This window comes from Homo sapiens, chromosome 4, assembly GCF_000001405.40.
Source record: "Homo sapiens chromosome 4, GRCh38.p14 Primary Assembly".
NCBI lineage: Eukaryota > Metazoa > Chordata > Mammalia > Primates > Hominidae > Homo > Homo sapiens.
Genome location: NC_000004.12, coordinates 184,575,202 through 184,602,830, shown reverse-complemented (window position 1 = coordinate 184,602,830; position 27,629 = coordinate 184,575,202). Strand labels below are relative to the sequence as shown.

Genomic DNA, 27,629 nt, shown 5'->3' with positions numbered 1-27,629 from the left:
ATTCAAGGTTAATATTGTTACGTGTGAAGCTGATCCTGTCATTATGATGCTAGCTGGCTATTTTGCCTGTTAGTTGATGCAGTTTCTTCATAGTGTCAATGGTCTTTAAAATTTGGTATGTTTTTGCAGTCACTGGTACCAATTTTTCCTTTCTATGTTTAGTGCTTCCTTCAGGAGCTCTTGTAAGGCAGGCCTGGTGGTGACAAAATCTCTCAGCATTTGCTTGTCTGTAAAGGATTTTATTTCTCCTTCACTTATGAAGCTTAGCTTGGCTGGATATGAAACTCTGGGTTGAAAATTCTTTTCTTTAAAAATGTTAAACTTTCTGGCTTGTAGGGTTTCTGCAAGGAAATCCGCTGTTAGTCTGAGGGGCTTCCCTTTGTGGGTAACCCAACCTTTCTCTTTGGCTGCCCTCAACTTTTTTTTCTTCATTTCATCCACAGTGAATCTGACGATTGTATGTCTTGGGGTTGCCTTTCTCAAGGAGAATCTTTGTGGTGTTCTCTGTATTTCCTGAATTCCAATGTTGGCGTATCTTGCTAGGTTGGGGAAGTTCTCCTGGGTAATATCCTGAAGAATGTTTTCCAGCTTGGTTCCATTCTCTCTGTCACTTTCAGGTACACAATCAAATGTAGGTTTGGTCTTTTCACATAGTCCCGTATTTCTTGGAGGCTTTGTTCATTCCTTTTCGTTCTTTTCCTTTAATCTTGTCTTCACTCTTTATGTCATTAAGTTGATCTTCAATCTCTGATATCCTTTCTTCTGCTTGACCGATTAGGCTATTGATACTTGTGTATGCTTCATGAAGTTCTCATGCTGTGTTTTTCAGCTCCATCAGGTCATTTATGTTCTTCTCTAAACTGGTTATTCTAGTTAGCAATTCCTCTAACCTTTTTTCAAAGTTCTTAGCTTCCTTGCATTGGGTTAGAACATGCTCCTTTAGCTCAGAGGAGTTTGTTATTACCCACTTTCTGAAGCCTACTTCTATCAATTTGTCAAACTCCTTCCCTGTCCAGTTTTTTCCCTTGCTTGTGAGGAGTTGTGATCCTTTGGAGGAAAAGCGACGTTCTGGTTTTTGGAATTTTCAGCTTTTTTGTGCTGGTTTCTCCCCATCTTCGTAGATTTATCTACCTTTGGTCTTTTATATTGGTGACCTTCAGGTGGGGTTTCTGAATGGATGTCCTTTTTGTTGATGTTGATGCTTTTCCTTTTTGTTTGTTAGTTTTTCCTTCTAACAGTCAGGCCCCTCTGCTGCAGGTCTGCTGGAGTTTGCTGGAGGTCCACTCCATACCCTATTTGCCTGGCTATCACTAGTGGAGGCTGCAGAACAGCAAAGATTGCTGCCTGTTCCTTCCTCTGGAAGCTTTGTCCCAGAGGGGTGCCCGCCAGATGCCAGCCGGAGCTCTCTTGTATGAGGTGGTTGTTGACCCCTTCTGGGGGATGCCTCCCAGTCAGGAGACACAGGGATCAGGGACCTACTTGAGAAGGCAGTCTGTTCCTTAGTGGAGCTTGAACGCTGTGCTGGGAGATCCGCTGCTCTCTTCAGGGCTGTCAGGCAGGGACGTTCAAGTCTCCTGAAGCTGCGCCCACAACCACCACTTCCCCCAGGTGCTCTGTTCCGGGGAGATGGGGTTTTATCTATAAGCCCCTGACTGGGGCTGCTGCCTTTTTTTCAGAGATGCCCTGCCCAGAGAGGAAGAATCTAGAGAGGCAGTCTGGCTATAGCGGCTTTGCCAAGCTGCGGTGTGCTCCTCCCAGTTTGAACTTTCCGAGCTCTGTTTACACTGTGAGGGGAAAACCACCTACTCAAGCCTCAGTAATGGTGGATGCCCCTCTCCCCACCAAGCTCAAACGTCCCAAGTCAACTTCAGACTGCTGTGCTGGCAGCGAGAATTTCAAGCCAGTGGATCTTAGCTTGCTGGGCTCCATGGGGGTGGAACCCACTGAGCTAGACCACTTGGCTCCCTGGCTTCAGCCCCCTTTCCAGGGGAGGGAACGGCTCTGTCTCGCTGGCACTCCAGGCACCCCTGGGGTAAGAAAAAAAACTCGGTGTCTGCCCAAACGGCTGCCCAGTTTTGTGCTTGAAACGCAGGGCCCTGGTGGCATAGGCACCAGAGGGATTCTCCTGGTCCACAGGTTGTAAAGACCATGGGAAAAGCGTAGTATCTGGGACAGAGTGCACTGTCCCTCACGGCACAGTCCCTCACAGCTTCCCTTGGCTACAGGAGGGAGTTCCCCGACCCTTTGCGCTTCTGGGGTGAGGCAACGCCCCACCCTGTTTTGGCTCACCCTCCGTGGGCTGTACCCACTGTCTAACCAGTCCCAATGAGATGAGCCGGGTACCTCAGTTGGACATGCAGAAATCACCCACCTTCTGCGTTGATCTCGCTGGGAGCTGCAGACTGGTGCTGTTCCTATTCGGCCATCTTGAGAGAACTCCCAGCCTGTTTTTTAAGGAAAAATATCATATTTGTAAAAGAAATGAAGATCATATGGGAAACACTTATTTTGGAAAACACTTCTATTGTAGGAAGTATCTGTGGAAAAAATCAACAGATGAGTAAATGTGTGTCTAGGATACAGAATTGTAACCACCCAACTAGTTCTTTTTGTCCACTGCCTAGACAGAGCTGATTTATCAAGACAGGGGAATTGCAATTGAGAAAGAGTTTAATTCACCCAGTGCTAGCTCTAGGGGAGACCAGAGTTTTATTATTACTCAAATCAGTCTCCCCAAAAATTTGGAGATCAGAGTTTTTAAGGATAATTTGGTGGGTAGGGAATCAGAAATTGGGGAGTGCTGATCGGTTGGCTTGCAAATGAAATAACAGGGAGTCCAAGCTGTCCTCTTGAGTTGAGTCAGTTCCTGGAAGGTGGCCACAAGACCTGATGAGCCCATACCAGCTGGTGCACTGGAATGCAGAGTCTGCAAAATATCTTAAGCACTGACCTCGGGTTTTTCAACAATGACTCCTAAACCATCATTTCTAATCTCGTGGCTAATGTATTAGTCCTGTAAAGACAGTTTAGTCCCCAAGAGGGGGGTTTATTTTGGGAAAGGGCTGTTACCATGTTATCATCAAACCATAAACTAAACTCCTCTCAAAGTCAGTTCGGCCTATGCCCAGGGATGAACAAGGGCAGCCTGGAGGTCAGAGGCAAGATGGAGTCGGTTAGGTCAGATCTCTTTCACTGTCATAATTTTCTCAGTTATAATTTTTGCAAAGATGGTTTCAGAATGATAGTAAGACACTGTGGATCCCTTTGTACGGTGTCATAAGTCTGTTTCCACATCCAGTTACGTCTTGGGTTCTACAAACCAAGAGAGTCAAGCTGAGGAGTAAGGCATCTGGCCAAAAGGCCAGGAAGCCAAAATCTTATATGTGATCTTTCAGGCCCAACCCTAGGCAATTCCAAAGGCATTTCCTGGTAGGCCTGGGCGGGGAGAGCTGCCCTCCTCACCCCAGACTTGGCCCACAGTCTGGGTGCCCCTGGCCAGCCGTGACGCTGCACATATCTGCATTCCTAGCTCAGACACACCACCCAGAGACGTCCTTATCTGCAGACCGTGAGCTGAGGTCTCTCTTGGGGTCTCTCCTGAGACCACGCTGCTGGGGGCCATGAAGACATTTTTCATCACCCTGACTCAGCATTCAGTATTTTAACACCTCCAGCCCTCACCCTTCTCTTCCTCCCCAACAAACCTGCAAGAGCCTTTTGCTGGGGTTCCCTCAGTGGTGAGATGACCCCTATTGATCCATCTGACCTGCTCCTGGTGCTCTTCTGGGGGGAAAAATAAAATGTGGAGGAGGCAACACTCTTGCCACTTGCCTCTTGCTTATGTCACTGCAGGAGGTGATGAAAGCCTCACTTTCGTCTTGGTGTGCTGTTTTAATCCACCGCTTGGACACCGAGCCGCTCAGCTCTCTCCAGCTCAGCTGTTGACGGAGAGGAGGTTAATGCAATGTTATTTTCTAGTTGTAACTAAAAGGTCAGTATTAGAACTATTCCAGGAAAAGTAACCAAAGATACAACCTGCAAGGAAAAGCCTGAGGCAGCCGCCACTGTCCTCTGCAGTGTTCCAGTGCCACTGCCTCCCTGATAAATGTGTCAGTCACATCACCTTCAGCTCAAGCACATCCTTGTTTGTCAACAAGCAGCATTTGTCTAAAGTTTCAGCAAGGACACAGCTTTAGTTTCCAAATAGTCAATATGAATAATTTTTTCAAAAAATCACACCTGAAGTCTTCAAAATGAGCTTTTTCTCTAGCTAAAGTTAGCAATTTATCAGTGCTAACTTATGCTAGATAATTTCTTGGGCAATGATACGTTCCAGAAAGAGGCAAATATCACAGATGAGAGAGAAAGCAATGCTTTCTATTTCTTAGATTGCTTTGAAATAGGATTGTGTATATAAAGAGACTAAGCTGCCATTTGACCATGAGTTTGCTGTAGACCTCCTTGAACCCAAGTGTAAGAACCATGTCCTGTGAGGAAGGAGAGGGCTGATGGGGCTGCACAGAGGGGTGTGCCGGCAAAGGCTGGCAGGGCCAGGAGGGGCAGTGGGCTGACTCGGCGTGTGTATGCTTATGTATGTGCACGTGTGCATGCGTTTGCACATGCCTGGGTGTACACTCACTCAAAGGTTCCGTTCAGCCCACCTATTTTCAGGATTCTAGTCCATCAGGGGTAAAAAAGTAAGGCAATCAGAGGTTTTTATCCCCTTAAATTTATGTCATTAGTGGAAGAAAGAATGGATATTTGTTTACTCATTAAAAAGTGTAGACAGGGCCAGGTGCGGTGGCTCACGCCTGTAATCCCAGCACTTTGGGAGGCCGAGGCAGGTGGATTACCTGAGGTCAGGAGTTCGAGACCAGCCTGGCCAACATGGTGAAACCCCGTCTCTACTAAAAAGATACAAAAATGAGCCAGCCACGGTGGTGGGCTCCTGTAATCTCAGCTACTCAGGAGGCTGAGGCAGGAAAATTGCTTGAACCTGGGAGGCAGAGCTTGCAGTGAGCCAAGATCACACCATTGCACTCTAGCCTGGGCAACAAGAGTGAAACTCCGTCTCAAGAAAAAAAAAAAAGTGTAGACAGTGGCTGGGCGCAGTGGCTCATGCCTGTAATCCCAGCATTTTGGGAAGCCAAGGCGGGCAGATTGCCTGAGGTCAGGAGTTTGAGACTAGCCTGGCCAACATGGTAAAACCCTGTCCCTAATAAAAATACAAAAAAATAGCAAGGCATGGTGGCGGGCACCTGTAATCCCAGCTACTTGGGAGGCTAAGGCAGAAGAATCGCTTGAACCCAGTAGGCGGAAGTTGCAGTGAGCCAAGATCGCATCACTATACTCCAGCCTGGGCAACAAGAGCGAAACTCTGTCTCAAAAAAAAAAAAAAAAAAAGTGTAGACTTATAAGTGCTTAATAAATGAAAGCTATTATTATTATTATTGCTACTATTCTCCAAAGTATAATGGGATATTTACCCCTATCTTACACAGATCAAATGAGAGGAGCATCTTGCCTTGGACTTGGCAACTCATATTTTCTTCCTTCACCTATCAAGGTAGACTCAGTCTCATAATATGATGGGATAGTTTTGAAAAGATTATCAAAGGCAAGGAGCTCCCAGCCAGTCCCCAGCATTATTCCTGAAGGGAAGCAGCACGGTTTCCTGCATTACCAAACTTGTCCATTCTTGGCAGCAAATGGCCCAAAAAGCAGCGTCTAAGATCTTTATAGGTTATCTCTGCTCTTCAGGGGGTGATACATTCCTTGCATGGTAAGCATACATTTCTCAATCCACCAACTCCAGCATCCCAGAAATTTAATTTTCTCTGTTTAAGTCAAGTTACCTGAGCCTTATTAGCGGAAAACTTGTCAGTCAGGTCAAGCTCAGTCCATTCAGAGTGGACTCAGCTCTGAGGCCCACACCAGTGACTCACTCCAGTGCTCCTGTCACCAGGTCCTCTCCCTCTCCTGCTTGGAGCATATTTACCGAGGCAGGCTGGGCAGGGGTGGGTAGAATTGGGTCTGTGTTATCTTTCTGTGTCACACCTGGTTGTTAAACATGAAACCCAATAACTGAATGCCCTTGTCCTCTAGTTCTGCTGAGATAGTTCTCCTGGGGGCCAAGAAGGTCTCGTGCCTAAAAGCCAAATTGGCAGTGTGGGAGTAGGAAGTAGAGTAGAAGGAAGAGGGCATGCAGATGATGAGGGCATGTCAGCTAACATCTCCTAATATCGTTTTGCTACACATGCTTATCATAGTACTTACTCTTCTCCATGCAAAGCACTTTATAAACATCATCTCCCTTAATTCTCACATGATTCTTATGAACTATTATTAGCCCAATTTTATAACTGAGGAAATGAATGCTCAGAGGTTAAAGAGCATGCCTAAGGTCACCCAGCAGGAAGAGGTGGAGCTGGAACATGAATCCAGATGTTTCTGGTTCCCATTGCTTTCCTCTTTTCACTAGTCCCCCACTACACGATTCCCCAAAAGGACACTAAATTAAAAACAAGCCAAAGCGTGTGCTAGGGTCTAGCAGACAGCAGACGCCTGTAAAACAGCCTGAGAGTACAACTCACACCCAGTCCTTAGAGTTCCCGCCTTGTGAGCAGCCCGTGTAGGGAGCATCAGCCAAGCAGATAGAAGGTCAGAAAGGATTGGGCCCCAGAATGGCCCTTCCTTTAGAGTAGCTGGACAAAAGAGCAGAAGAGCAGATGATCTCTGGTCCTTACGAAGCATCTGAATCAATGTCAGGGACCTCGTCTTTTCCCTTCCCTCCCCTCCCCTTTTCTTTTGAGACAGGGTCTCGCTCTTTTGCCCAGGCTGGAGTGCAGTGGTGCTATCTCGGCTCACTGCAACCTCCGCCTCCCGGGTTCAAGCAGTTCTCCCACCTCAGCCTCCCAAGGAGCTGGGGTTATAGGTGCACGCCACCACACCCCACTAATTTTTTGTATTTTTAGTAGAGACAGGGTCTCACCATGTTGGCCAGACTGGTCTCAAACTCCTGACCTCAAGTGATCCGCCCACCTTGGCCTCCCAAAGTGCTGGGATTACAGGAGTGAGCCACCATGCCCAGCCGAGACCCTGTTTTCCAATGGCTGCCTTCAAGATGGCCAGAGAACTACATGTCAATACACCTTTTAAATAAACCAACTTGAAGGAGAGCCAAAGAGGAGTAAGTTCAAGAGATTTATTGTGCAATATCGTAACTATAGTTAATAATAATGTATTGTGTTCTTAAAAATTGCTATGACAGTATATTTTAAGTGTTCCTACCACAAAAAATTTTACATATGTGAAGTAATACATATGTTAATTAGCTCAATCGAACCATTCCATGACGTATATATATTTCAAAACCATATGTTTGAAAACATATTGTGTGCATGATAAATAGGTAAAGTTTTTATTACTAAATTTTACTAGAACTTAAAAATAAATGAATTAAAAGGAAGTTAACCTAGTCCCAGGACAGAGTGGGAAAGCTATTGTCTTAATTTGCTTTGTGTTGCTGTAACAGAATACTTAACACTGGGTAATTTAAAAAGAAAAGAAATTGGCCGGATATGGTGGCTCATGCCTGTAATCCCAGCACTTTGGGAGGCTGAGGCAGGTGGATCATCTGAGGTCAGGAGTTCAAGACCAGCCTGGCCAACATGGTGAAACCCCATCTCTACTAAAAATACAAAAATTAGCCAGGCATGGTGGTGGGCACCTGTAATCTCAGCTACTCGGGAGGCTGACACAGGAGAATTGCTGGAACCCAGGAAGCAGAGGTTGCAGTGAGCTGAGATTGCGCCATTGCACTCCAGCTTGGGCAACAACAGCGAGACTCCATCTCAAAAAAAAGAAAAGAATTTGGCTCACAATTCTGGAGGCTAGGAAGTCCAAGGCTGAGCAGCACATCTAGTGAGGGCCTCATGCCGTTCAACTCATGGAGTGGGAAAAGAGACAGGCATGAGAGGTGGAGCTCACTTTATAACAATCTGCCTCTCAGAAACAAATTCAGTCCCGCAAGAGTGAAAACTCACTTATTCCCAAGAGAGGGCGTTATCTATTCATGAGGGATCTACCCCCTAACCCAAACACCTCCCCACTTCCCAACACCACCACCTTGGGAATCAACTTTCAATATGAGCTTCAGCTGGGACATACTCGAACCATGGCACTAAATAACAACCTTAAACCACATGGGTTTGAACTGCACGGGTCCACTTATACATGGATTTTCTTCTCCCTCTGCCACCCCCGAGACAGCAAGACCATTCCCTCATCTTCCTTCTCCTCCTCACCCTACTCAATATGAAGATGACAAGGATGAAGACATTTCAGATGATCGACTTCCACTTAATGAAGAGTAAACATATTTTCTCTTTCTTATGATTTTCTTAATAGTTTCTTTTCTCTAGCTTACATTATTGTAAGAATATAGCATATAATATGTATAACAAAAAATATGGGTTAATCAATGGTTTATGTTCTCAGTAAGGCTTCTAGTCAACAGTAGGCTATTAAAGTTTGGGGAGTCAAAAAGTTATATGTGGATTTTGGCTGGGCACGATGGCTCACACCTGTAATCCATGCACTTTGGGAGGCCGAGGCAGGCGGATCACCGAAGGTTGGGAGTTCGAGACCAGCCTGACCAACCTGGAGAAACCCTGTCTCTACTAAAAATACCAAATTACCCGGGTGTGGTGGCGCATGCCTGTAATCCCAGCTACTTGGGAGGCTGAGGCAGGAGAATCACTTGAAACTGGGAGACAGAGGTTGCAGTGAGCCGAGATCGTGGCATTGCACTCCAGCCTAGGCAACAAGAGCAAAACTCCGTCTAAAAAAAAAAAAAAGTTATATGTGGATTTTTGACTGTGTGGGAGTCAGTGCCCCTAATCTCTGTGTTGTTCAAGGGTCAACTATAGGTTGGAGAGTCAACTATAGGTTGAAAATTGGCAGGTCCCTATTCTTTGATGCATATGCTGATTTGTTAATTAAATCTCCGAATTTCTTGGCAATAAATTTAAAACATCGTATTTTTGTACTTTTCTTCTTGATTTTCTATTCAATTCCATTCTTTACTTACTTATCTGTCACCTCAGGATTCAGAAAGTAAGGAAGCAACAGCTGCTGCAGCTGAGGGAGCTGAGCTGGGATCACCACATGGTGCTGGGCGTGGGTATCAGCAAAGGAACAGGAGCCAGAGTTCTAGCAAGGATAGTTTTGGCCACAAACATAGCTCTAGGCAAGGAGAAACTACACAGACACACAGCAGAGTTGGGTACGGGGATGCCGGGGTAGAGTATGGTGTGGCCTGGGACTCCGAAACAAAGTGGAGAGAAATAGGAAGCAGCATTGAAACCTGGAAAATTCATGGGCTTTGGAGTCAGCAAGGTCAGGCTGTGAATCCTGACTTCCTCCACTCATTCGCTACATGACCTTGGGCCTTTTAGTTAACCTCAGTTTTCTTCTAAAATGATTATCATGACTAACCTCATTTCCATCCTTGCAGAACAGTTGTGAAGATTAAATATGTGTATGAAGCACACAGTTTAGCACTTAACAGGCAATCAGTTCTGTCCTGCTTTAAGGCTCATTTACTTCTCGCGGGATCCTCCACGGTTTCCATCAGATCCTTAGAGCTCATGAGGGTTGGATTCCCTGCCCTCCTATGTGCTAGTGCTGTGAGATTAAGGTGCAAACAGGTGCTGCAGAGAGCTGGGGGAACGCCCGCACTGAAAAATCCTTGCTGTGTTTCATTTGCTAGTGATGGGTGATGATTTACCCCACACACTTAAAACAAATTTAGCCTCTGACAGCTTTTGGGGCCTGAAGCCCAGGCCTGGTTTAGCTGGATCCTCTGTTCAGAGTCTCACTGTGTCCAGAATTGGTGGGTTCTTGGTCTCACTGACTTCAAGAATGAAGCCGCAGACCCTCGCGGTGAGTGTTACAGCTCTCAGGGTGGCGCGTCTGGAGTTGTTCATTCCTTCTGATGTTCGGATGTGTTCGTGGTCTCACTGGCTCAGGAGTGAAGCTGCAGACCTTCGCGGTGAGTGTTACAGCTCATAAAAGCAGTGTGGAGCCAAAGAGTGCGCAGTAGCAAGATTTATTGCAAAAAGCGAAAGAACAAAGCTTCCACAGTGGGGAAGGAGACCCCAGCGAGTTGCCACTGCTGGCTCGGGCAGCCTGCGTTTATTCTCTTACCTGGCCCCACCCACATCCTGCTGATTGGTAGAGCCCAGTGGTCTGTTTTGATAGGGCGCTGATTGGTGCGTTTACAATCCCTGAGCTAGACACAAAGGTTCTCCACGTCCTCATCAGATTAGTTAGATACAGAGTGTGGACACAAAGGTTCTCCAAGGCCCCACCAGAGCAGCTAGATACAGAGTGTCGATTGGTGCATTCACAAACCCTGAGCTAGACACAGGGTGCTGATTGGTGTATTTACAATCCCTGAGCTAGACATAAAGGTTCTCCACGTCCCCACCAGACTCAGGAGCCCAGCTGGCTTCACCCAGTGGATCCCGCACCAGGGCCGCAGGTGGAGCTGCCTGCCAGTCCCGGTGCCCTGCTCCCGCACTCCTCAGCCCTTGGGTGGTCGATGGGACTGGGCGCTGTGGAGCAGGGGGCGGCTCTCGTCGGGGAGGCTCGGGCAGCACAGGAGCCCACGGAGTCGGGGGGAGGCTCAGGCATGGCGGGCTGCGGGTCCCGAGCCCTGCCCGGCGGGAAGGCAGCTAAGGCCCGGCGAGAAATTGAGCACGGCAGCTGCTGGCCCAGGTGCTAAGCCCCTCACTGCCCGGGGCCGGTGGGGCCGGCCGGCCGCTCCGAGTGTGGGGTCGGCCGAGTTCACGCCCACCTGGAACTCCAGCTGGCCCGCAAGCACTGCGCACAGCCCGGGTTCCCGCCCGCGCCTCTCCCTCCACACCTCCCCGCAAGCTGAGGGAGCCGGCTCCAGCCTTGGCCAGCCCAGAAACGGGCTCCCACAGTGCAGCGGTGGGCTGAAGGGCTCCTCAAGTGCCATCCAAGTGGGATCCCAGGCAGAGGAGGTGCCGAGAGCGAGAGAGGGCTGTGAGGACTGCCAGCACGCTGTCACCTCTCATCACCACCTAAAATCAAGGTACTGGCTGGGCTCTGTGTGTGTGTGTGTTGTAGAGAAGGAGTCTCACTATGTTGTCCAGGCTGGTCTTGAACTCCTGGCCTCAAGCAATCCTCTCACCTCTGCCTCCCAAACGCCTGTGAAATCAGCTCTTGATTCACTTGGAAATTCACCAGATGAATTTTCTTCTTGCCAGACTTAAATATTCTACAGGGGTGAGCCACTGTGCCTGGCCCTACAGGGGTGAGCCAATGTACCTGTGCCCTACAGGGGTGAGCCACTGTGCCTGGCCTTGGGACTGTGTTCTCATCTGGAGGTTTGACTCCAAAATAAACTGTTTCCAAGTTCATAAAGGTTATTGGCAGGATTCATTTCCTTGTAGCGTGGGACTGAAGTCCCTCTGTTCTTTTCTGGCTGTTGGACAGGACCCATCGTAGCATCTGCAGGTCACCCTCACCCTTGCCACCTGGCCCCACACAGGCAGTTCAAAATGAGGCAATTTGCTTCTCAAAGCTCAGCAGGAGGATCTTGCTCACGTCAAACACCTGCTTCCTTCCAGGAAGGCCTGGACTCTTTTAAAAAGCTCACCTGATCAGGTCAAGCTCACTTAGGATCGTTTCCTTTTTAAAAAATTAACTCAAAGTAAATTGATTAGAGACCTTAGTTACATCTGCAAAACCTCTTCATTTCTGCCATACAGCCTCTGCCCCAATCCTGGGAGTGAGATCCCATCATACTGACACGTCCTGCCCACTTGCAGGGGGATGCAAGCACACCAGGAATGCCCACCAGGGTGCAGGGATTTGGGGGCTACCTCCAAATTCCACCTCCCAGACCTGCTTAGCCATGCCCAGGTCCAAGAAGACTGGGGGCCACGCCTTAACAACGCGTGAGGAACGCTGGGAAGATGCCTGGGAATCGGCTCCTGATTCACTTGGAAATTCACCAGGTGAATTTTCTTCTTGCCAGATTTACATTTTCTACAAAATCCCGGCAGAAATAATAGATGTCACACGCTGTAAGAATATCGTCTTTCTGGGAAACATTATGCCCCGAGAAAGCATCTCACCCTCCCAGACCCCTGCCCTTCCGTTTTCCCGACAGAACATCTTAAGTGGTCGTGTGCAGCCAGAGGAACACGGGGCACAGGGCCTGAGATCTAATTTTGGAAATCCCCTCCATCTAAATATGGGGAAACTGAGGCCCAGAACGGACCAAGCTCATGCAGCCCCTGCTCTGGGTCTCTTGTAGTGCTGCCTTGACTGAGATTTCCGTGGGCTGGTTGGGCCTGGCTGTCAGAGGAGAGAAGTATCAACTCATTAGGATTCCTAGCAACTGGGCAGCAGCTAGAAAATGGGAAACAGACTAGCCAGTGTGGATGGCTGGGACATTTTCCATGTAACATTAAAATTCCTGAATGACTACAGCTGTGAAGAGACATTGGTGAGAATTGTTTTCAAATTACTTGAAGTTGAATTAATTGAGAATTTCTTTAGTATAAAATCTTTATTTTTTTTTTTTGAGACAGGGTGTCCCTCTGTCACCCAGGCTGGGGTCCAGTGATGCAATCACAGCTTACTGCAGCCTCAACCTCCCAGACTCAGGCGATCTTCCTGCCTCAGCCTCCTGAATAGCTGGAACTACAGGTGCATGCCACCACCCTTGGCTATTTTTTTTTTTTGAAACGGAATCTTGCTCTGTTGCCCAGGCTAGAGGGTAGTGGCATGATCTCAGTTCACTGCAACTTCTGCCTCCTGGGTTCAAGCAATTCTCCTGCCTCAGCTTCCTGAGTAGCTGGGGTTACAGGCACGCACCACCACGCCCAGCTAATTTTTGTATTTTTAGTAGAGACGGGGTTTCACCATGTTGGCCAGGCTGGTCTTGAACTCCTGACTTCAGGTGATCTGCCCACCTTGGCCTCCCAGAGTGCTGGGACCACAGGCATGAGCCACTGCACCCAGCCGCCTAGCTATTTTTTAAAAAGATTACTTGTAGAGATGGGGTCTCACTATGTTGCCCCGGCTGGTCTTGATCTCCCATGCTCAAGCGATCCTTCTGCCTCAGCCTTCCAAAATGCTAGGATTACAGGTATGAGCCACTGCACCTAGCTCCCTTTTTTCTCATTTGTAATAGAAAAATAAATTTTGTATTTGTATTAATAATGTCCATGAGGCGTGCCACATTTTGAAGGTAAGTAGCTTACAAAGCCTCTCAAGGTCTATTTGAATTAAAACGGCTACAAAATTATCTTGCTTGTTATTCTCTGTGCAGATGGCTGACATCAGATAGCTCTGCTTGTCTTCACTGCCCTCACCCCTCCAAATGATGTCTACATCTCTTTTAGGCTAAGCTTTTTAGTGAAACTTGATAGCATGAGTTTTCTCTTAGGGAAGACGCCCCCGTGATGACTGAGTAGGGTTAGACTTGAGAAAGAATTGTGGGATTCGAAACTGAGATTTTAAAAGTCAGATGGGAAGAGCGGCTCTTGGCGTGTGCAGGGTAGATCCCATAACCCGTCCTAGCCCAGGTCTCCAGTGCGTGGGAATAGAAAGAGTGAAACGGTGTTACTGTGCACTCATTTTAGTAAGTGGTGCCTTTGGCTGAGCTGAGCACTGGAACCATGCTGGCTTCAGAGGGATTCTCAGTGGTGCTGGGACCAGAGCCAGACCCCAAGGATATGAAGGCATCAGAATTCTCATGCGCTGTTGTTGGGAATGCAAAATTGGGCAGCCACTTGGGAATTCAGTTTGGTGGTTAAGTTAAACATGCACTTACTGAATGAGCCAGCCATTCTACTCCTAGCTATTCAAGAGAAATAAAAGTATATATCTACGAGACTTGAACATGAATGTTTAAAGCACCATATTCATAATAGCACAAAAAGAAAACAACACAAATGTCCACTCAGGGGAAAATGGACAAACGAATTGAGGTATAGTCATACAATGGAATAGCATTCACCAATCAAAAAGGACGAACTACTAATACACAGAATGTGGATGGATATCCGAACTATGCTGCTGAATGAAAGAGACCCAAGAGTACATACTCTATTATTTCATTTATTTAGAAGTTCATTTATATGAAGGCAAAAACCAAGCCAAAGCAAGAGAAATCAGATGAATGCTTGCCTGGGGCAGGGATTAGGAGTGTCTCAGCTATAACGAGGCACAGGGAGATTGGAGGGGTCAGGAAAGTGTCCTATATCTTGGTGGTGGTAATAGCTACACAGGTGTATACATTTGTTAAGACTCATGAAACTAATCTTAAATGAGTGCATTTTATTATATGTAAAGTATCCATTATTGTATGAATATCAAACCCCAATAACGTTGATTTTTAAAAATGAACCAGATACGGAGTTTCCACTGGAGAAAACCCTGACGTAGATCACTCTGTGTGTCTCTAGAGACAACTGAAACTGATGCCGTGTTTCTCACCTCCAGTGAAATTCCTATTTAATTGATACAAAAATACTACAAGGACCAAAATGGAGCATGTGCTTTTCTATTCTTCCTGCTGAGTGTAGCTAGAAAGCCTAGACATTGTTTATAAGACAAATATCAGAAGACTCTGAAAGTGGATGCAGCAAGGAAGGCTATGTAGGGACCTGGGAACCCAGGGCATGACACGGCAGTGAGTGAGCCACTGAGTTTTCTTTTTGTCTCACGTATCTTGGGTTGGACACTGGAGAAGCTGGCAACCCAGAAACACCAATGGGCATGGATTAAAAAAAGAAAAAAGCCAAAGAAAGCCTGCTATGTCTAGCTAAGGACCAGGAAACAGGCAGCCTGGCAAGATGGAAAACTTTTAGACAATAACCACGCTACTCCAGCCAAACACCACAAAAAAAACAAAAAACAAAAACAAAAAAACCCTTGGCTCCACTTCTGCCCTGTCAGCAAAGACACCCCCAAGCAACAGAGCTTGTTCTCCCTGAAGTGGGTACTGTTTTTTCTAAGAAAAATTAACATTTTTCAATTACACTGGCTATGCTTTGAGGTAATTCATGGCTAATGACAATAATAAAATAGTAACGGTGCCTTCTTCTGGGGGAGCTAATATATCCAAATTGTCCTTATAAGACTCCTTCTGTAACGACTATATTGCTAGCTCTCCAATCCAAGTCTTTGCTATTCCACATTCTCAGATTGGACCCTAGATTTAAAGAAAAAAATAACCAGTCTTCTCTGACAACCCCAAGTTCGGGGGGGGGATGGGAAATACTTAGTAAACTGTCAGGCTAACTTAGTATCCAAATTCTGTTTGGCACTACTTAGATGGTCATTTGGCAATGCCAAAGGGTTTACTTGCCCTTCTCACTAATTTAAGTTGTGGCCTGGCACACATGAACGAAGATGGGATTCTGAGAATAATTACGTGTGATTAAGAAGCTCCATCGTTTTTCTGGTGTGGCCCAACAGGACTGGGCCAGCTGCCCTATTTTTCAGATCCACAGAGCGAGAAAAATTTAAAGACAAAGAAGGCAGCTCATCCTTCTCCTTAAAGGAAATTTCTAGTTATTCAGATTTAACCTACTCAAATAAAAATGTTATTCTTACAAATGTATGCTTTAGTAATTGTATCTTTTCAGGATGAATAGAAGCAACTCATACACAAATATCTGTCAGTTAATGCTGTCAAAGACTATTCTGGGTTGGAAATACCTTGTCATTAAAAGTGAATAGGCCAGGAAAAAGAAAAGAAGGTAGAAAAAAAAAAAAAAAAGTGAATAGGCTGGGCGTGGTGGTGTAGGCCTGGAGGATCGCTGGAGACTCCAGAGACCCTGTGTCAGGAAGAAAAAAAAAAAAAAAAAAAAATGGTGTGGGGGAGTGCTCCTTGTAGGACAGTGTGAACAGGGTTATTTATTTATTTATTTATTTATTTATTTATTTATTTATTTTTGAGTCTGAGTTTCACTCTTGTCACCCAGGCTGGAGTGCAGTGGCGTGATCTTGGCTCACTGCAACCTCTGCCTCCCGGTCTCAAGTGATTCTCCTGCCTCAAGTGATTCTCCTGCCTCAGCCTGCCGAGTAGCTGTGATTACAAGTGTGTGCCTCCATGCCCGGCTAGTTTTTGTATTTTTAGTAGAGATGGGCTTTCACCACACTGGCCAGGCTGGTCACGAACTCCTGACCTCAGGTGATCCACCAGCCTCAGCCTCCCAAAGTGCTGGGATTACAGACGTGAGCCACCGTGCCTGGCCGTGAACAGGGTTTTTAAAGCCCTATAGCATCAACAATGCTTCCACTATCCACATCATCCAGGAAAATATCCAAATGGCATTTTGAGAAATAAACTTGCCACGATATGTCTTCAGATGAACCCTGCCCATAGCTCTCATGAATATGAAATTTACAGCTTTAAAGGTTAGCACTCTCGGCCAGGCGCAGTGGCTCACACTTGCAATTCCAGCACTGTGGGAGGCTGAGGTGGGCGGATCACGAGGTCAGGAGTTGGAGACCAGCCTGACCAACATGGTGAAACCCCATCTCTGCTAAAGATACAAAAAATTAGCTGGGCGTGGTGGTGCGCACCTGTAATCCCAGCTACTCAGGAGGCTGAGGCAGGAGAATTGCTTGAACCCAGGAGATGGAGGTTGCAGTGAGCCAAGATCGCACCACTGGACCCCAGCCTGGACAACAGAGCCAGACTCCATCTCAAAAAAAAAAAAAAAAAAAAAAGATTAACACTCTCCCTGCATTGCATGAAATATTCATTTGTAGGACTTTGGGTCTTCTAGATATTTTGGCAGAATATACAGGAGCTAAATGGTATTGTGTTGGATCATAATGGCATATTATGGATTATAACAGTGGTCCCCAAGCTTTTTGACACCAGGGACCGGTTTTGTGAAAGACAAGTTTTCCACAGGGGGTGGAGGGGTGGGGGATGGATTTGGGATGAAACTGTTCCACTTCAGATCATCAGGCATTAGATTCTCATAAGGAGTGTGCAACCTACATCCCTGCCATGCACAGTTCACAATAGGGCTCGAGTTCCTATGAGAATCTAATGCTGCTGTTGATCTGACAGGAGGTGGAGCTCAGGTAATGATGTGAGCGATGGAGAGCAGCTATAAATACAGAAGAAGCTTTGCTCCCTTGCCAACCACTCACCTCCAGCTGTGCAGCTGTGCAGCCCAGTTCCTAATAGGCCATGGACCAGTATCAGTTTGTGGCCTGGGGGTTGGAGACCCCTGGATTAAAATATATATGAGATGTGACATATCATTCACAAGTGAGAGAAGATCTACCAAGTTATTTGCATACTCATGAAGTGACATGGTTTCACACTGGGGTCCATCAGTGGAAAACATTGTTTAAACCTCACTGCTGGCTGGGTACAGTGGCTCACGCCTGTATCCCAGCACTTTGGGAGGCTGAGGCGGGCAGATCACAAGGTCAGGAGTTCAAGACCAGCCTGGCCAATATGGTGAAACCCCATCTCTACTAAAAATACAAAAATTAGCCAGGCGTGGTGGCGGGTGCCTGTAATCCCAGCTACTCAGGAAGCTGAGGCAGAAGAATTGCTTGAACCCAGGAGGTGGAGGTTGCAGTGAGCTGTGATTGCACCACTGCACTCCAGCCTGGGTGACAGAGCGAGACTCTGTCTCAAAACAAAACAAAACAAAAACTCACTGCTAAGATGGCTTAGTAAGACTCTGTCTCAAAAAAACAAAAGCAAAAAAAACCTCACTGCTAAGATGGCTTAGTACCTGGTGTCAAGTCTGACTTGTTTTTTTTTTTTTTTTGTCACCCAGGCTGGAGTGTAGTGGTGTGATCACAGCTCATTGCAGCCTCAATCTCCCAGGCTCAAGTGATCCTCTTGCCTCAGCCTCCCAAGTAGCTGGGACTACAGGCATGTGCCAGCACACTCAATTACTTTTCTTTAAAAACATTTTTGTACGGATGGGGACTCACTATGTTGCCTGGCTCATATCAAACTCCTGGGCTCAAGCGATCCTCCTGCCTTGTCCTCCCCAAGTGCTGAAGTTACAGGTGTGAGCTACCACATGCAGCTGAATTCTTATATCTTAAATCCCTACCTCCCACGATAAGCAGATGTTACTCCCACTTATTTTATAACTTTTTGCTCTTTATGTCTCTTTTTGTCCCTGGACACAGGGATTAGCAACCCACTCTCCACCAAATTTCAAGTCACTAGGGGCATTATGCTATGTCCCAGGAGTGGCCAAGGCTTCAAGGACCAATGATAGACCTGCTGCTCTAACCTAGGCCTGCTGAGGAGTACAATTCAACCTGTGTTTCTGTGTGGTTCAGCAATCTTGCTGAGCTCCTCTAAGTCAGTCCATCCTGCCACAGCTGGGAAGAATCAAGAAACTCTCCAAGAAGACGTTTATTGGTTGATAAAAATCTGTTTATCTGCCTGTTGCCAATGAGAAGACAGGTCTGCTGACCATGGCAGGCATGGCAGCACGTGACACCGTGTTTGCTGCTCACTGCATGTTCCACCTGAACTTTCCCGTCCGGTCAATGAGTCTTGACAGTGGGGTGAAGGGGACTCACTCTCAAAGACCAAGGCTGACCCGCTTTGAGTACAATGCCTTGACCTAGTTACTGTCACTGTGGTTTTGTCTTCAGGAACTAAAAGGTACAATAAAAACTTGTTCATTTAATTGTCCTGTTGATGTACAAAATACTTAAATGCTTCTACATAGGTCTGCTCTTCTGCGCCACAGAGCACTAAGGGAAAGTCCCCACAATACACATGCCTTTCACCTGAGCTGCTACGTGTGACAGTTGAGCAACTAAAGGTTAAAAAAAAAAAAAAAGCTCCCCAAATGCTGTGGGTGTGACAGCTGGTCCAGCTTCACAGTCTGTACTTTCCCTCTCTAACAGCATGGAAAAATACAGAGATAGCTAGCAACTGATGCCCTAGTGTGCCTAGCCATCGATGAATCTGTGTGATTAGAAACCAGCATTTAACCATACCCCAGATACATTAAAAATCAACCCCACACTGGTAGACTGTAATGCCACTTTGCTTCCAGATGGCAGTTACAATTGGCAAGGAAATACCTAGTTTACAGGAGGCATTGCTACTTATGTTGTTGCAGAAATTGAACCCTTAGAAGAATGTATTCTGGACTTTCTGACCTGGTTACTAACAAACAGTGAACAATATCTAAGAATACACTTGGAACAGAAATGTGAGAAACCAAAAGTAAGAGATATTATGAAGAATCAAATTTAAAATGACACACTGCTAAAGAGGCAACAAAGAAAATTGTAGAATAAGAAAATGACAAGAAGCACTATGTCTTAGTGCATTTGTGCTACTGTATAGCGAAATACACTAGACTGGGTAATTTCTAAAGAACAGAAATGTATTTCCCACAGTTCCATAGGCTGGAAGTCCAAGATCAAGATGCCAGCAGGAGTGGTGTCTGGTGACGGCCTGGTCTCTGCATCCAAGATGGCGCCTTGAGCACTGTGTCTTCAGGAGGGGATGCACTGTGTCCTCACATGGCAGAAGGCAGAAGGGCAAAACAGGGGAAGCCCACTCCCTCTAGCCCTTGTGTAAGGACCCTAAATCCACTCATGAAGACTCTCCCTTCATGACTGAATCACTTCCTAACAGCCCTACTTCCTAATACTATGACATTGGTGATGAATTGTAGAAGGACACATTCAGACCATAGCACCCTATATTCAATTTCTTAAAAATTATTTTGGGCCGGCACGGTGGCTCATGCCTGTAATCCCAGCACTTTGGGAGGCTGAGGTGGGCAGATCATGAGGTCAGGAGATCGAGACCATCCTGGCTAACATGGTGAAACCTTATCTCGACTAAAAATATAAAAAATTAGCCAGGCGTGGTGGTGCACACCTGTAGTCCCAGCTACTCAGGAGGCTGAGGCAGGAGAATCACTTGAGCCTGAGAGGCGGAGGTTGCAGTGGGCCGAGATTGTGCCACTGCACTCCAGCCTGGCCGACAGCGAGACTCTGTCTCAAAAATTAAAAAAAAAAAAAATAAATAAAATTATTTTGTTGTTTTGCTTTTCTGTTTTTCAAATGACTTAAAGTGCAAAAACTGGATTAATCATAATCCTTGGCTCATAGCTTACCTTGGCTTCTATTTCATCCTGTCTGTGCCTAAGCCTCTATGTAAATGTATTTGAATGTATTTGAATAAAATGTAATCACTTGTGAACCCACCACACAACCCAAGAACTAGGATCTGATCCTAACATCTGCTCCTCTTCTGTCCTTTTTCCTGATTCACACCCTTCAGCCCCAGGGGGAACTACTACCCTGAATTTATGTTTAGGATTCCCTTCCTTAAAAAAAAAAAATTGTTTTATTGCGTATATATGATTGCCCGAGAAAATATATTATTCAGTTTTTTAAGTGTATAATTTATTTACTCATTCTCCTATTAATTTACCCATTCTCCTATTAATGAACATTTGGCTTATATCCAGAATTTTGCTATTATGAATGGCATTACATGAGCATTTCTTTTCTTTTTTTACTACTTCTGGCACACATGGGCAAGAGTTTCTCCAGGGCTTATGGTACATGAATTACTGTGACATAACATATGAGAATGCTCAACTTTATAAGATAATCCAAATTGTTTTCCAAAGTGGTTGTTCTAATTTAAACTCTCACCTCTTGTATTAGTTCGAGACAATCTTGTTGATCCGCAGTCTCTCCATATTTGGTGATATGGTTTGGCTATGTCCCCACCCAAATATCAGCTTGAATTGTGTCTCCCAGAATTCCCACGTGTTGTGGGAGGGACCCAGGGTGAGGTAATTGAATCATGGGGATCGGTCTTTCCTGTGCTATTCTCGTGATAGTGAATAAGTCTCATGAGATCTGATGGGTTTATCAGGGGTTTCTGCTTTGACTTCCTCCTCACTTTCTCTTGCTGCCACCATGTAAGAAGCGCCTTTTGCCTCCTGCCATGACTTTGAGGCCTCCCCAGCCATGTGAAATTGTAAATCCAATTAAACCTCTTTTTCTTCCCAGTATCGTGTATGTCTTTATCAGCAGTGTCAAAACAGACTAATACAGTAAATTGATACCAGTGGAGTGGGGTGTTGCTGATGAGATACCCAAAAATGTGGAAGCAACTTTGAAACTGGGTAACAGGCAGAGGTTGGAACAGTTTGGAGGGCTCAGAAGAAGACAGGAAAATGTGGGGAAGTTTGGAACTTCCTAGAGACTTGTTGAATGGCTTTGACAAAAATGCTGATAGTGATATGGACAATAAGGTCCAGGCTGAGGTGGTCTCAGATGGAGATGGGGAATTTGTTGGGAACTGGCGCAAAGGTGACTCTTGTTATGTTTTAGCAAAGAGACTGACAGCATTTTGCCCCTGCCCTAGAGATTTGTGGAAGTTTGAACTTGAGAGAGATGATTTATTATATCTGGTGGAAGAAATTTCTAAGCAGTAAAGCATTCAAGAGGTGACTTGGGTGATGTTAAAGGCATTCAGTTTTATAAAGGAAGCAGAGCATAAAAGTTTGGAAAATTTGCAGCCTGACAGTGTGATAGAAAAGAAAATCCCATTTTCTGAGGATATACTCAAGCTGGCTGCATAAGTAACAAGAAGCTGAATGTTAATCCCCAAGACAATGGGGAAAATGTCTCCAGGGCATGTTGGAGGTCATCACAGCAACCCCTCCCATCACAGGCCCGGAGGCCTAGGAGGAAAAAAATGGTTTTGTGGGCCGGGCCCAGGATCGCTGTGCTGTGTGCAGCCTAGGGCCTCCGTGCTCTGCATTTCAGCCGTTCCAGCCACGGCTGAAAGGGGCCAACATAGAACTCAGGCCATGGTTTTGACAGTACAAGCACCAAGCCTTGGCAGCTTCCATGTTGTGTTGAGCCTGCACATGCAAAGAAGTCAAGAATTGAGCTTTGGGAACCTCCACCTAGATTTCAGAGGATGTATGGAAACGCCTGGATGTCCAAGCAGAAGTTTGCTGCAGGGGTGGGGCACTCAGGGAGAACCTCTGCTAGGGCAGTGCAGAAGGGAAACGTGGGGTTGGAACCCCTACACAGAGTCCCTACTGGGGCACTGCTTAGTGGAGCTGTGAGAAGAGGGCCACCATCCTCCAGACCCTAGAATGGTAGATTCACTGACAGCTTGCACTGTGAGTCTGGAAAAGCTGCAGACACTCAATGTCAGCCCGTGAAAGCAGCTGGGGAGGGGGGCTGTACCCTGCAAAGCCGCAGGGGCAGAACTACCCAAGGCCGTGGGAGCCTACCTCTTGCATCAGCATGACCTGGATGTGAATCATGGAGTCAAAGGAGATCATTTTGGAACTTTAAAATTTGACTGCCCTGCTGGATTTTGGACTTGCAAGGGCCCTGTAACCCCTTTGTTGTGCCGAATTTCTCCCATTTGGAACATCTGTATTTACCCAATTACCTGTACCCCCATTGTATCTAGGAAGTAACTAGCTTGCATTTGAGTTTACAGGCTCATAGGCCGAAGGGACTTGCCTTGTCTCAGATGAGACTTTGGACAGTTGACATTTGGGTTAATGCTGAAATGAGTTAAGACTATGGGGGACTGTTGGGAAGGCATGATTGGTTTTGAAATGTGAGGACATGAGATTTGGAGGGGCCAGGGGTGGAATAATATGGTTTGGCTGTGTCCCCACCCAAATCTCAACTTGAATTATATCTACCAGAATTCCCACATGTTGTGGGAGGGACCCAGGGGGAGGTAATTGAATCATGGGGGCCAATCTTTCCTGTGCTATTCTTGTGATAGTGAATAAGTCTCATGAGATCTGATGGGTTATCAGGGTTTCTGCTTTTGCTTCCTTCTCGTTTTCTCTTGCCGCCACCATGTGAGTTGTGCCTTTCATTCTCTGCCATGACTCTGAGGCCTCCCCAGCCCTGTGGAACCATAAGACCAATTAAGCCTCTTTTTCTTCCCAGTCTCAGGTATGTCTTTATCAGCAGTGTGAAAATGGACTAATACATTTGGTATTGTTAGACTTCTTAATATTTGTGGAGAGAATAGATATGTAGTATCTTATGCATTTTCCTGATTACTAATGAGGGTGAGAAAATTTTTATGTTTTGGGGGCTGTTTTCTCTTTTGTGAAATCCCTATTAATGTCTTTTCCCAATTTTCTGTTGGGTTGCTACTTTAAAAATGAATTCATGGGAGCTCCTTATGCTTTGTTGATATGATATTAATCTTGTGTAGGTTTTAGGTACTGCAAATATCTTCTTCCAGTTTATAGTTTATCTTTTCACTCTTTTTATTTTTTTAACTTTTAATTTTTTTTTTTTGAGACGGAGTCTCGCTCTGTCACCCAGGCTGGAGTGCAGTGGCTCACTGCAACCTCCGTCTCCCTGGTTTAGATGATTCTTGTGCCTCAACCTCCCAAGTAGCTGGGATTACAGGTGTCTTCCACCAATGTCTTGCTAATTTCTTGTATTTTTAGTAGAGACGGGGTTTCACTATGTTGGCCAGGCTGGTCTCAAACTCCTGACCTCAGGTGATCCGCCTGCCTCAGCATCCCGAAGTTTTGGGATTACAGGCGTGAGCCACCGCGCCCGGCTTATCTTTTCACTTTTTGATGTAAGAAGGTCTTAATTTTGTGATAGTCAAAATTTCTAATCTTTTTTGATGGTTAAATGCCTTTTTGTGTCTCATTCACTTACATTTTGTAATAAAAGTTTTAAAGTTTTGTTTCTGACATGTAAGTCTTGGTCCATCTGGAATTTAATGTTTGTATATAGAGTGAAGTAGGAATATAATTTCATTTTGTTTCCTATATCAATAACCATTATTTTTCTATTCTATTTATTGAAAAGTCCTTCCTTTCCTTGCTGATCTGCCATGTGATCTACATCACATATCAAAGATTAAATTTATGGAGATTTGTTTGGGAGCTCTCTATCTGTTTCATTGGTCAGTTTATCAGTTAAGACCACACTGTCTTAATTGCCACAGCTTTATAAAAGTTCTGATATTTGGCAGGATAAATCTTTCCTCTTCTTCAATAATGTCTTTGATATTCTTGGCCCTTTCCCTTTTCCATATATATATATATATATATATATATATATATAAAATTATATAATAGAGAGAGAGACAGGGTCTCACTCTGTTGCCCAGGCTGGAGTACAGTGGTGCAATCGTAGCTCACTGCAGACTTGAACTCCTGGGCTCAAGAGCTCCTCCTACCTCAGCCTCCCAGGTAACTAGGACTCTAGGCATGCACCACCACATACAGCTATTTTTTTAAAACATGACTATTTCTTTTTGTAAAGATAGGGATCTTGCTATGCTACCCAGGCTGGTCTCAAACTTTTGGCCTCAACCAATCCTCCTCCCTCAGATTCCCAAAGTGCTGGGATTACAAGTGTGAGCTACCACACCTGGCTCTATTTTCCATATTTTAAGACCATATTTTAAAAGCTGCTCAACCCTGCTTTTTTCTCTTGGTGCTACTTGTAACTCCCTTACTTAGCCTTGGAAATACTGTTAGTGAAGAAAATCTAAAGAATAGAAAAATAAAATATTTTTTTTCTTCCAATTGCAAAAGAACAGATGCCCTCCTGAATCATAAAGCTAGTTGTGATAAATTGGTGAACTGAGAGCCTACACAGTAGTATTAATTCTGTTCTAATTTCTGCCTAACTGTGGAGTCTCATCACATAGTCTTAAAAGATTATTGCTATGAAATATTCTTATACATGTAACCCATAACCCCTGCAGTTGCCATTGGTTGTCTTACCTAATAATCAATTGCTCCGCTTCATAATATTTAAATTGGCATCTCCATTTTCCAAAAGGCATAAATACTAGTATAGTTTTTTAGTTAAGCCAGAAGAAAGTCCACTTCATTTTTTATTTTATTTTATTTATATATTTTTTTGAGACAGAGTCTCACTCTGTCGCCCAGGCTAGAGTGCAGTGGCGTGATCTCGGCTCACTGCAACCTCTGCCTCCCAAGTTTAAGCAATTCTCCTGTCTTAGTCTCCCGAGTAGCTGGGACTACATGCACCCGCTACCACGCCTGGCTAATTTTTTTTGTATTTTTAGTAGGGACAGGGTTTCACAGTGTTAGCCAGGATGGTCTTGATCTCCTGACCTCATGATCCACCCACCTCAGCCTCCCAAAGTGCTGGGATTACAGGCGTGAGCCACCTCGTCTGGCCAGAAAGTCCACTTTATTTACTAACGTAACTTATACGTAAAGGCTTAATAAATCTCCCTGCTTCTTTTCTTTCGCATCTTAACAACCACTGAAAATAATATTTCTATAGCAGTTGAGGGTAAATGGACAATGGCTTTTGTGGCCAGAGGTGAATGGCCCAGGGGCTCCAGCACTCCAGGTCCCACTGAGCCTGCCCCACGGCTGAGGGCATCGGTATTTCCACACACCTATAATGCTCGGTGCCCCAGAACAGAGATCGGATGCTCTCCTTTATTCAAATGGCGAGTTGAGGGTATTGTAACTGTAATTTAATTAATAAATATGTACACACTGTTAAAATCTGGTTGGATTTGTGTCCCTTCGCAAAACAAATTGCTGAAATGAAACCACAGAGTTAACATAATTGAGTACGTCTGCTTCTATGAGAGGCTGTTCTAAAATCTAATTAGAATCTAATTTGAAATGTCAATAAAAAGTTTAAATATTCAACTCAATTATTTTTAGATTATTTTAGTTATTTTTATTACTTTATTGTTATAAAATGCTTGTTTTTAAAAAATGAATCAATATAAAAAAGAAGAAGATGACCAATAAGCATTCCCACCTCCATGATCTAGAAATAGCTGTCATCAATCCAGGAAAACACCATGCCATTCTCTCTCCTCTTGGCACATGCACAGACAGATAGAAGGATGGGAAAATAGACAGGTGGGCCGGGCATGGTGGCTCAGGCCTGTAATACCGGCACTTTGGGAGGCCGAGGCGGGTGGATCACCTGAGGTCAGGAGTTTGAGACCAGCCTAGCCAACATGGTGAAACCCCATCTCTACTTAAAATAAACACACACACACACACACACACACACACACACACACACACACACACACAATATTAGCCAGGCGTGGTGGTGGGCGCCTGTAATCCCAGCTACTCAGGAGGCTGAGGCAGGAGAATCGCTTGAACCCGGGAGGTGGAGGTTGCAGTGAGCCAAGATCGCGCCATTGCACTCCAGCCTGGACAACAGAGTGAGACTCCATCTCAAAAAAAAAAAAAAGAAAAGAAAAATAGACGAGGAAAGATGGATAGACAAAAATAATTCTGCATAAATGAGACTGCTACAGTGCTCATTTGTATAAAAAGCATTAATTTGCATTTGTTTGCATTTTGAAGCTCTGTTGTTGGATGCATACATTCAGGATCTCTGTCTTTTTGATGATTTTTAAATCATTATGTAATGTGTCTCTTTACATAAAGATTTTTAAATTATAATGTAATGTTTCTTATTACATTATGTAATGTCCTTATTAACTTTTTTTGGAAATCTATTTTATCTGTTATCAATACAACCACTTTTGGGTTTTTTTTTTTTTTTTTTTTTTTTTGAGACGGAGTTTCACTCTTGTTGCCCAGGCTGGAGTGCAGTGGTGCAATCTCGGCTCACTGCAACCTCTGCCTCCTGGGTTCAAGTGATTCTCCTGCCTCAGCCTCCTGAGTAGCTGGGATTAGAGGCATGTGCCACCACGCCCGGCTAATTTTTGTATTTTTAGTAGAGACGGGGTTTCTCCATGTTGGTCAGGCTGGTCTCGAACTCCCAACCTCAGGTGATCCTCCTGCCTTGGCCTCCCAAAGTGCTGGGATTACAGGCATGAGCCACCACGCCTGGCCAACTCTTGCTTATTACTGATGTTAGCATAACATATCTTTTTTCTTTTCTTTTCTTCTCTTTTCTTTTCTTTCTTTTCTTTTCTTTTCTTTTTTTTTTTAGTGTCAACTTATTTATGCTGTATTTGAAGTGAGGTTCTTGTAGATGGCATGTAGTTGGGTTATGTTTTATTTTCTTTAAACTGCCATCTCTATTCTTTACATCAAAGGTAAATTGATAGACCATGTACTTTTAAAGTAATTCTTGATGTGTTAGAGCTTAATTCTGCCATTTTATTATTTGTTTTCTGTTTGTTTCCTGTTTCCCTGTTCTAGTCTTCCCATGGGATACTTGATCACTTTTAAAATTCCATCTTGTTTAATTTATACTGTATTTGAGTATATCACTTTACATAGCTCTCTCGGTGGTTGCTGTAGGTATTACAGTATATATCTATAACTTAGCCTATTGCTATCAACATTTAACTCCTTGCAGTGGAGCATTGAAAACTTACTTTCATTTAGGTCTTTATCCTCTCTACTTTTTAGGTATAATTCTTTCAAATATTTATTTTTTTATATTGAGCATTCCAACATATGCTATTACAATTTTTGCTTTAATCATCAAATATGATTTCAGAAATTCATAAGAAGAAGGCAAGTCTATTATATTTATCTTTAGTTTTACTCATTCCATGGTTCTTACTTTCCTCTCAAGTTCTTGGC

At 44.9% G+C, this 27,629-nt stretch overlaps 1 long non-coding RNA gene across 1 annotated transcript in view, besides 2 other annotated features; it reads left to right on the top strand.

Annotated features, from left to right (window-relative positions):
* Positions 1 to 18,738, top strand: part of LINC02365 (long intergenic non-protein coding RNA 2365) — a 40,780-nt gene extending 22,042 nt beyond the window's left edge. The window contains exon 2 of the long non-coding RNA NR_131967.1: positions 18,229 to 18,738. This is a non-coding gene — a long non-coding RNA (long intergenic non-protein coding RNA 2365). The remainder of the gene's footprint in view (positions 1 to 18,228) is intronic.
* Positions 13,282 to 13,576: a silencer, noted in NCBI's record as "tiled region #13226; K562 Repressive DNase matched - State 9:DNaseU". NCBI's record gives its function as "represses a minimal TATA promoter and a strong SV40 promoter by Sharpr-MPRA in K562 cells {active_cell/tissue: K562}" and the evidence as "EXISTENCE:reporter gene assay evidence [ECO:0000049][PMID:27701403]".
* Positions 18,299 to 18,348: an enhancer, noted in NCBI's record as "active region_22231". NCBI's record gives its function as "activates an Ori minimal core promoter by ATAC-STARR-seq in GM12878 lymphoblastoid cells {active_cell/tissue: GM12878}" and the evidence as "EXISTENCE:reporter gene assay evidence [ECO:0000049][PMID:35858748]".
* Positions 18,739 to 27,629: the final 8,891 nt, after the last annotated feature.